This window comes from Homo sapiens, chromosome 11, assembly GCF_000001405.40.
Source record: "Homo sapiens chromosome 11, GRCh38.p14 Primary Assembly".
NCBI lineage: Eukaryota > Metazoa > Chordata > Mammalia > Primates > Hominidae > Homo > Homo sapiens.
Genome location: NC_000011.10, coordinates 129,295,198 through 129,305,357, shown reverse-complemented (window position 1 = coordinate 129,305,357; position 10,160 = coordinate 129,295,198). Strand labels below are relative to the sequence as shown.

Here is a 10,160-nt window from a genome sequence, read left to right as displayed (position 1 = left end):
GCTACTCGGGAGGCTGAAGCAGGAGAATTGCTTGAACCCAGGAGGTGGAGGTTGCAGTGAGCCAAGATGGCATTATTGCACTCCAGCCTGGGTGACAGAGTAAGACTCCATCTCAAAAAAAAAAAAAAAAAAAAAAAAAATTGGGGATGCTCTTGCAATAGGAGAAGGGAAGAACGGATATTGGGTGACAACCACATATCGCTGACATAAGAACCACCAGGTGACTTATAATGCCCACAGGTAAATAATTCAATCCAGCTTCTGATGGAGGAGGATCCAACAAAAGGAAAATATCTATTACATCAACAATAAAATGTAATCAAATTTTCACAATGAACAGATGGACTAAAAAAAAATACACATTCGGTACTTTAATTCCTGCTGGATTTCTGAAATCAGCCAGCTCCTTCTGAATGAACATGTGCTAAAGAGAAGGGCAGCTGATAACCTCTTGAGCATCTTAATTAGCACTGGATTTCATCAGAATGGTGCTGTGTAATACATCAGAAGCTGAGCACAGCAGATTCCAGAACACCTAGGTCTAACTGCCAAGTCCCTCAAATAAAGCAAGTGAGAAGAGCAGGCCATATACGTAGGGGGAGAAAGCTAGTCACCTTCACGCTTCCAAGCTTTTGCTCTCGTGGCTTCAGCTCCCTAGAATCCGTTGTCTCTTCTCTATGTGAAGAAGTGCTGCTCTGCCTTCTCATTATTTATTTATTTATTTTTTTTTTTGAGATGGAGTCTCGCTCTGTCGCACAGGCTGGAGTGCAGTGGTACCGTCTCGGCTCACTGCAACCTCCGCCTCCCGAGTTCATGCCATTCTCCTGCCTCAGCCTCCCAAGTAGCTGGGACTACAGGCGCCCGCCACCACACCTGGCTAATTTTTTGTATTTTTAGTGGAGACGGGGTTTTACTGTGTTAGCCAGGATGGTCTTGATCTCCTGACCTCATGATCGGCCCGCCTCAGCCTCCCAAAGTGCTGGGATTACAGGTGTGAGCCACTGTGCCCGGCCTCTTCCTTCTCATTCTTGAAGAAACTAGTCAAATATTTCTTGGGATGCCTGTTCTTTGACCCTTTAGTTTTGTGTGTCATTCATTCATTCATTCATTCATCAAATACTGATAGAATCTACCATGTACCAGGCAATGTACTAGGCATTGTGGGGTGGAGTGGGGAGACTCAAGGACAAACTAGTTAAGACTGTGGCCTCAGGCTGCATATAACACTAATTCAATTAGATTTGTTTAGTCAGACAGCCCAGCACACTGGGGCAAGGGCTAGTAGCCCCGATATGCTGTGCTCTCTGACTAAACAAAGAATAGATAGCTCCAAGAGGGCAGAAACCTGGTATTTTAATTAGCACATATTTACAGAGCTCTCACTATGTGCCAAGCACCTTTCTGCTCTATGTGCTTAGAGTATATTACTCTTCTAAATCTTACGACAATCCGTGAGTGTGTACCCATCCTCACCCTATTTTGCAGATGGTGAAACTGAAGCATACACAGGTTAAGTAATTTGCCTAAGGACATGTGGCTAGGAAGCAGTGAATGTAAAACTGAATACAAGGAGACTGGCCCTAGCGTGCATGCCTAACTCATATTCTTCACTTCTTTACTATTCACACTTTTCTGCATTTCCAGTATTGAATAGGATGCCTGGGATCTCGTGGTTATTCAGTAAACGTATGTTGAATGGAAGTGAGCTGGCTGCTCAACACTGGCCAAGTTATCCTCTCTGAGCCATAATTCCTACAAAGATAAAAAGAAGTTAGACTGGAAGACCTCTACGATCCCTTGAAATTCTCAACTATGGAATTGTAATTTTTTTCCTTATTCATAGCCTAAATAATCTTTTAGCTGAGGCCGGGAAGAGATCTTGTGGGATCATATGTGGAATTCTGGATTTTAGCCAGACTTCCTCCATAGTAACTAGGTGAGAATTCTTTTAGTTTATCAAATCCTTTAAGATGTCCCACCTTTTTGAAGCTAAGTAGTAGGTGATTCACAGATTTTATGAATAATGATGATAGACAAGATATCCAAAAAGTTTCTTCATAAGGTGGAAAGGTAAACTGCTTTCCTCCTGCATATACACCAGTTTGGTAGCAAAGAGTATTTTGGTAACACCTTATTTCAATTTTAGTAAGATTGTGTCCTTAGCCACAAAGAGGTATCTAAGAGTGGACACTGTAATATTTCTCAGGCCAGTATTCTTTGTAAATATGGCTACTAACAATGCATCACCTCCAATAAACTGCTCTAAATTACTCTTTCAGGTTATGCTATTGCATGACATTGTTTCCAAAAGACCTAAGCGTGCAGTGCCAGGCGTTTGAGCAAAGGGCCAGAAAATCCCCATGATCTGACCAAATGCCAGTTTAGGTCATTATACTTTGGCCAGTTCTCTCCTCCCTACGGTGTCAGTTGGCTACTTTAGCCTTCACCACCCAGCGCATGCTGCTTGGTAATCACTGAGTTGGCTGGACTGTCTTCTCTGGTGAGTACTGTTCAGAAAGGGGCATTGAGTTGGGCTAACACTGACTGTAGGGAATAATATTGCTGGTAATAAGCTTCTCTAAGCTGAAATCAACAGAGGTATTATTTTCTCCGTAGGGCTGAAGTCAACAGGGAGCAGGACTGTATACTCTTGCATTTGAGGATTTAACCTACTGCGTATGTTTTTGACTATTTGCTTGACTTTGAAAGTCCCTGATGTAATGATTTATCATTTTGCTGAGGCAGGGATTGAACACAAACACTGTGAGAGTGGCAGAAAGTTCACAGTGAGTCACCTCACCAGCTAGGGAGCCTAGTCAACCACCTTGCATCTGGGTATGTCTCCACTTGGGTATCTAATATATGATTTCTTTTAATTTTCTTGACAGCCTTGTAAGACTCTTATTATTATCCCCATTTTATGCATGAGAGAATTACATGTTCTAGTGCTGCTCACACATTTAAAAATATTTGGAGATCTAAGAATGTTTTTCCCTTAAAGGTTTATTTTGTGGGAGGAGGGCTGGAGGCAAACTTAGGTAGAGAGATGTGAATTCATAGCACACGCATCATAATCAATGTATGGGGGGTTCCTCTCTTGACTGACAGATTGATTTCTTCCTTCATCCCCAATCTCTGCTCTCATTCTCTTCCCTTATGAATTCTTGCAAATGATCCATATAAATACAGAATTCAATATGTATGTGTTTTTAATTTACATAAATGACATTGTGTTTACATCTCATTCTCTTTCTTGCTTCTGAAACTCAAAACTATGATGTTAATGCCCATCCAGGTCACTAAATGTGTATCTAGTTCAATGCTTTGAATTGCAGAGTATTATTCCATAGTATGCATGCCTGATATTTTATTTAAATGTTTCCCTTGCTGTGGACACCAGGATAATTTCATATACATATATATGATTATTACTCTATGTAATATATGTTGTATATCTCCTATCTATATATGTGGGATTGATGTCATAGCACATATGTACATTCACTTCATTAAGTACTGCCAGATGGCTTTCCAAGTGGTTGTACCTGTTTACACTCCCACCAACAATCCATGTCACATTCTTGATATTATTCACCAAAGTTTTATTTGAGCTGATTTACTGATTTTCTTAAGTCTTTGTATAGTGGAGCAATTAACTGGAAATCTTAACAAAAGAAAGGTAGGAAGGAGTTAGGTGAGCTGTGACTTTCCTGGCCCCCTCCTCAATAATTTCCCTCTCCCATTCTCCTCTCCTGTCCTGTGTTCCTTATTCCTTTCAAATTGTTCCAGAACCTGCTACAGGAAATTACTCTGAACTTTCTCCCTGAACCACTTCCTTCCTTTTCAACAGCGTTCTTTTTTCCTTCCCTCCCTCCCTCCTTCCTTCCTTCCTTCCTTCCTTTTCTTTTTTTTTTTTTAACAGAGCCTTGCTCTGTCACCCAGGTTGGAGTGCAGTGGCACTATCTCAGCTCACTGCGACCTCCACCTCCTGGGTTCAAGCAATTCTCCTGCCTCAACCTCCCGAGTAGCTGGGACTACAGGCATGCACCGCCATGCCCAGCTAATTTTTTTATTTTTAGTAGAGATGGGGGTTTCGCCCTGTTGGCCAGGTGGGTCTCAAACCCCTGACCTCAAGTGATCTGCCTCCCAAAGTTCTGGGGTTAGAGTCATAAGCCAATGCACCTGGCCTCATCAGAGTTTTCTACGCACCTCAATAGAATTTTCTCCAACTCCTTTCTAAGTATCCAAATTCCTCCTATTTTGTGAGGTACAACTTAAGAACCAGTTCCTCCATGAATCCCTCTCTAATTACTCCAGCCTACACTTGTCTCTCCTAATTTTGACTACATATATCACATTTGGGGGTTTTATTTTTATTCAGTTTAACTCTATTATATTCCATGTTGTTTCCAAAAAAGAGAAATTGGGCAAATAAGATGTATAGTGTTTGGTTAGCCTCATTCTTCCAGGAGGTCACTAGTTTTGGACCACAGCCTACATCTGACTTACACTCCCCAAGTTCTTGTGGGAAAATCAGATACATGCACCAGGTAGTCTTACCTACCACCTTGAGTCAATCTTCTATAGGATTATAAGAAAGATTTCACCAATAGTAGAAATACATAACAAGCATTACATCTGCAAAATACATAACCAGGCAGTCTTACAAACTCTCTCTCTCACTGGTTATATATATCTTTATTGACTTCGAGTTTGTGGAGGTAAAAATATGAGGTGGATCCCAGGAGCATCTGTGGCACTCTCTGCAGAGCTGTAGCCTGTTCCCAGAAGGTGCTGTCCTCATTGACCTTTCAACAACCACCTGCTCATTACCTGAACAACAAGGTTCCTAGAAGACACTGATCTTCTTTTTTCGTCTCTTTCCCATAATTGAGCCACCAAAATTAAATGAATTCAGGGAAATACTCTTACCCACCACTGTTACACTATACTATTTTGCATTCTCTGTTTTCCACATAAAAACCCTACATTGCAAAGGAAATGACTAATTGCTTTACCAAAATTTACTTTCTTCTTTCTTACAGTCAGAACTTTGACGTTATCCAGGATGGCATGGGTCTAGCCATAAAACCACCTTTCCCAGTCTGTTTGGCAGATGGAAGTCTATGTGACAGTTGTTGCCATTAAAATAAAAGCCACAGATATGGTGTAAGACTTTCTAGAATGCTATTTTTCTTTTGCTTTTTCTTTTTGAGACAGGGTCTCACTCTGTCACCCAGGCTGGAGTGCACGATCATGGCTCACTGTAGCCTGGAATTCCTGGCCTCAAACGATCCTCCCACTCAGCCTCCCAAGTAGCTGGAATACAGGCATGTACACCATGCCTGGCTAATTTTTTTTGTTTGTTTTTTAGTAAAGATGAAGTCTCACTATGTTGTCCAGCCTGGTCAAGAATGTTCTCTAAAGTGAAACAACTCAGTTGGCACCCACCGATGCCCTTATCCTTCCTTTTTCTTTCTGCTTAGAATGTGGTCATGATGGCTGAGGATAGAGGTGGAACAGGTGCCATGCTGCTATCACAAGACGGAGACCACATACTCTAAGAATGCTGAACAGAAAAATAAAAGGAGTCTGAGTCCCTGATGACATAATAGAGCTACCATAACCACCATGGATATTGTCTAGGTGCTTTGTAATATAAAAAGAGTAAACCCTCTAATTGGTTCAACCACTGTGTTTGCATGTTATTTACTGCATGCAGTCAAACTCAAATCCCGATTGTTATTTGTTTGCTTTTGACAAACCTGTACTCCCAAAGAATCTTGCAGTGGTTCAAAGGCAGCCTGATAGGGAAACCATCTGTTCATCCTTAAGGAGAGCCCAGTAGTTCTGCAGGTCAGACCTGTGGTGCTCATTTATCAAGCTTGTGAGCTCTGCTTCTCTTCCATCTTACCAACTTTCTATGGCTGATATGGGATATCACCCCTGGTTAGAGGTTTGTAACAGACTTTCTTTCTTACTAGTGGAGACTTCCTTTAATGAGAAAGACATTAAGTGCCACATGCTTACTTTCCTAGTTTCCTTTATGGTGAGGGTATAGACATGTGACTTAATCTGGTCCAAAGAGACCATAACGGAAGGCAACTGGGATACGTGGAAACAAATGTCCTTTCTTCTTCACTGGAAATGATGCCTAGAAATGCTGAGTCATCTGTGGTCAGTGGCATGGACAGGATGGCAAGACATCAATGGGAAGCACTTGGATGCCTGGCAGACCTCCCTGTCACATCCCCAGCCCCAGATGCCAACTGCCTTTGAACATCTGCCTATTGTTTACACCACTTCTAAGGATATTCTGTTCTTGGCACTTAAAAGAACTCCAATGATACAGGGGTGTCAGAACAGGGCTGGTCACCTGCTTCAGCATTTTTTTTTTTTGAGATGGAGTTCCACTCTTGTTGACCAGGATGGAGTGCAGTGGGGAGTGCAGTGGCGCGGTCTTGGCTCACTGCAACCTCCACCTCCCGGGTTCAAGCAATTCTCCTGCCTCAGCATCCCGAGTAGCTGAGATTACAGGCATGAGCCACCACACTGGGCTAATTTTTTTGTATTTTTATTAGAGACAGGGTTTCACCATGTTGGCCAGGCTGGTCTTGAACTCCTGCCCTCAGGTGATCCACCCTCCTCAGCCTCCCAAAGTGCTGGGATTACAGGTGTGAGCCACCGCACCTGGCCCCGCTTCAGCATTTCTAGGTCTCTTTATTTAAAGTAAGCTTCTCAATGCCTTAGCCAGCTAGACCTCTGGGTACCTGCTTGGCTGGTCATTCAAACATACCCAGACAGGTCTGAATCTGCAAGAAGTATAGGGTAGACGTCATGCTAGGACTCCTCCTTTGCATACTTAATGTAACCCCCATTTAGTATTGCCCATTTTCATACAATGACCACTATGTGGTATGCTGTTATTTTTTAAAATAGTAAAACAATTTTTATGCTTGATGAAAAATATTTATAAGGAAAACTAATTGTTAAAAGAAACCAATAGTTTATTTTAAAAATCCACAAACATGAATTAAAATATGTGGAGTCAAACATAGCCCTAAACTTTTATCACCTAAAATATTTGAAAATACTTTTGGGGTTTTTTAGGAACAATCCATAGCACTCAAAGAGGATACCAGAGGATACATATTTTAGTTGCTACAAATAAGTATTGTATTACCATGGCCACACTATAATATTTCTTCAGATGAGATATTTACTCCTAGTCAATCTGGTGGTATTAATTTGCTTTCTAAATCAGGTAGGGACTGCAGGACAGATAGGCTGAATATTTAATATTTCTGTTCAAAACTTCAAGATACATGTACCTTTCAAGTTGCTCTTCAGCCTCTTTCCTGCCACAGCAGGAGTGCTGCTTAGATGGTCAATTCTAAATGGAAGAACTCCAGCCCTCTCTAACTCACACAAAACACTTGGTTGAAAAGAGAACCTGGCCGGGCATAGTGGCTCATGCCTGTAATCCCAGCTACTCAGGAGGCTGAGGCGCAAGAATCACTTGAAACCAGGAGGCGGAGGTTGCAGTGAACCGAGATCGCGCCACTGCACTCCAGCCTGGGCGGAAGAGCAAGACTGTCTCACAAAAAAAAAAAAAAAAAAAAAAAAAAGTGAAAATTTCAGCCAGTCATCTGAATGGTGTCAGCCTCATAGCAAAACATTGGAATGATTATTTTCTTTTACTTCTCACAGAGATTTGGGCAAGGTAGAGATACAGTTTTTGTTTTTGTTTTTTTACCTGAAGAAGATACAAAATGACCAAGAGGAAATCTCTGATTTGAAATTGCTAGAGAAAATTAGCCAATACCTTTGTGTATTATAACTACACATTGTTATCAAGAATGTTAAGACTTCTGAATGATGAAGTGGTATACCACGAAGAAAGACTGCTAAATAGCAATGTGAGGATTCTCTTTTAGAAGAGACTAATTTGGTAAGGAAATAGTTAGACTTGGATTCTGGGTCAATCAGAAACCAACCCTGGTCCAAATAAGAATGAGGTAAATTCTTTGTGTAGCTATCACTAGAGAGCTTTGACCCCCATTCAGACTGCATTTTGATTTTTATTCTATTTGCAAGAACCCTGGGGAGGGGAGAGTCACTGGCATCCCTAACGTAGCTCCCAACAGGGACACTGCCCATATTAAACAAGTGCAGGAGGGCTGGGAGGAAAAAGAGCTTTTGAGAACATCATGTGCCTTCCTTAGCGGTGCTCAGGGCATCGGTGGACATGTGACTGGAGAACAGTACTCACAGAACCAGGGCAGAAAGGAATCTGAAAAGGCAAATCATCCTAATTTGCACAAATGAGATCAGGGTTTTCTCATTATTGGCAGATTCTGGGTGAAATCTCAGATCTCCTGATTCTTTCAGTTCAGTTTTCTTCCAGGATATCATTTGGTCAAAAGCTATTGAGAAAGTGAAGAGGAAAAAAAAAAAGATGTTGCAACTTTGTGTATGAATGATGGGTATGAGTTTGCTCCTAGAAGCAAGGGAAAATAGGTATTTGCTACGGGTCTCTAAATTGAAGAAAAGACTTCACCAAAAATGCCAAAATAATCCTCAAAATAGCAGTCTAATTTGGATGAGAAGGACTGCTACAAACATGATGACTGTAAGAAATGTCCCTCACTCCTCCCCACCTCCAGCGCTCTGGCCAATGATAAAGACAAAGAACTGGGTTAAACGGGAGCCAAAGCATAAGCATTATTAGGGCCTCAGTGGGCTTTCCTTGTGTCTGTGCCGCATGGGGTCAGTGGATGCCATGAAATGGACTCAGGGTCCGGTCTTACTTCTCCCAACTCCAAAGGAGAGTGTGAGGTGGGGATGCCAGCCATACTCTAGACCACTCTGCCTAGGAGCCAGTGACCTTTGAGGAAGCACTTGCATACCTCACCAGATTGAAAGGGCCAGCCAGGACCCTGTGCAGAGGGCCCTATACAGAGAGGTGATGCTGGAGCGTTATGCAGGGGTGGCTTCCCTGACTTTTTCATTCAGCTATCCTGTTCTGGTCTCCTAGCTAGAGAAAGGGGAACTCCCATGGAACCCCTATCTCTGAGAATCTCAGAGTGAAACCATAAATGAGAAGGAAGGACTAATTCCAAAGGAGCATAGGTCCAAAGAAACAGAATCCCTCCGACTGACACTGGGAGGGCTGCCAGAGAATACTCCCCAGCACCTAGATTTTGGGAGCAGCCTAGAGCAGCCCCAAGGTCACTGGATGGTCAAGATAAAGTCAAAGAGGGGAGATTTCACAGATGGGTCCACCAGGCATCAGGAGGCCTGTGCTGATGAGAGAGGGGAAAGTGTGAGAAATTAGGAAAAAATGTTAGCGTCAGCACACAACTCTACGAATCAGACAACTCCTACCGGTCAGATAGCTTATGAATGTGGAAAATGTGACAGGTATTTCAGTCAAATGGCAGACTTCCACTGACATCAGAGAGGTCACGGTGATGAAAAGTTTTGAATGCAAAGAATGTGGATGACTTCAGATGCAGCACATTACTTGTTTGGCATCAGATAATGCACACTAGAAATAAACCATTTAAATGGAAAGAATGCGGGAAAGGTTTAAATTCAGATGCAGCCTTGATTCAGCATCAGAGAATCCACGCTGGAGAATCGCCCTCTGAACGTAAGGAGGGTGGCAAGGCCTTTGGCAATAGCTCAGTCTTCCTTTAGCACCAGAGGTTCCACACTGGGGAGAAACTCTGTGAGTGTAACAAACATTGGAAAACTTCTAGTTGTAGCTCAAGCTTCATTGTCCATCAGCAATGCACACTTGGAAGAAACCCTATGAATGTAAAGAGTGTGGGAATCTATTAAGCACGGCCTTGACTCAGCATCACTGAATTCACACTGGAGAGAAGCCCTTTGCATGTAAGGGTTGCAAGAAGGCATTCGATCAGAAAATAACCCTGATTCAGCACGAGGGAGTTCACACTGGTGAGAAACCTTATGAGTGTAGAAGGTGTGGGAGCCCCTCAGCTGGTGTGGAAACTTCGTTATGCATCAGAAGCCACACACTCAAAAGGCACCCATTTAAGCATAGGGCTAGCCACTATCAGGCTCACTACACCCCTCTTTGTTTCTCCCTGTTGCATGATTTTTAAGTGTCCCCACTGTCTCTCCTGGACTGT

The 10,160-nt window shown here is 42.5% G+C and overlaps 1 long non-coding RNA gene and 1 pseudogene across 1 annotated transcript; both read left to right on the top strand.

Annotated features, from left to right (window-relative positions):
• Positions 1–2,451: 2,451 nt before the first annotated feature.
• LOC105369571 (uncharacterized) lies at positions 2,452–5,689 on the top strand. Its single transcript, XR_948174.3, has 3 exons — positions 2,452–2,500; positions 2,617–2,676; positions 5,487–5,689. It is a non-coding gene; the product is annotated as an uncharacterized LOC105369571 (long non-coding RNA).
• On the top strand, positions 8,743–10,155 carry ZNF123P (zinc finger protein 123, pseudogene; annotated as a pseudogene).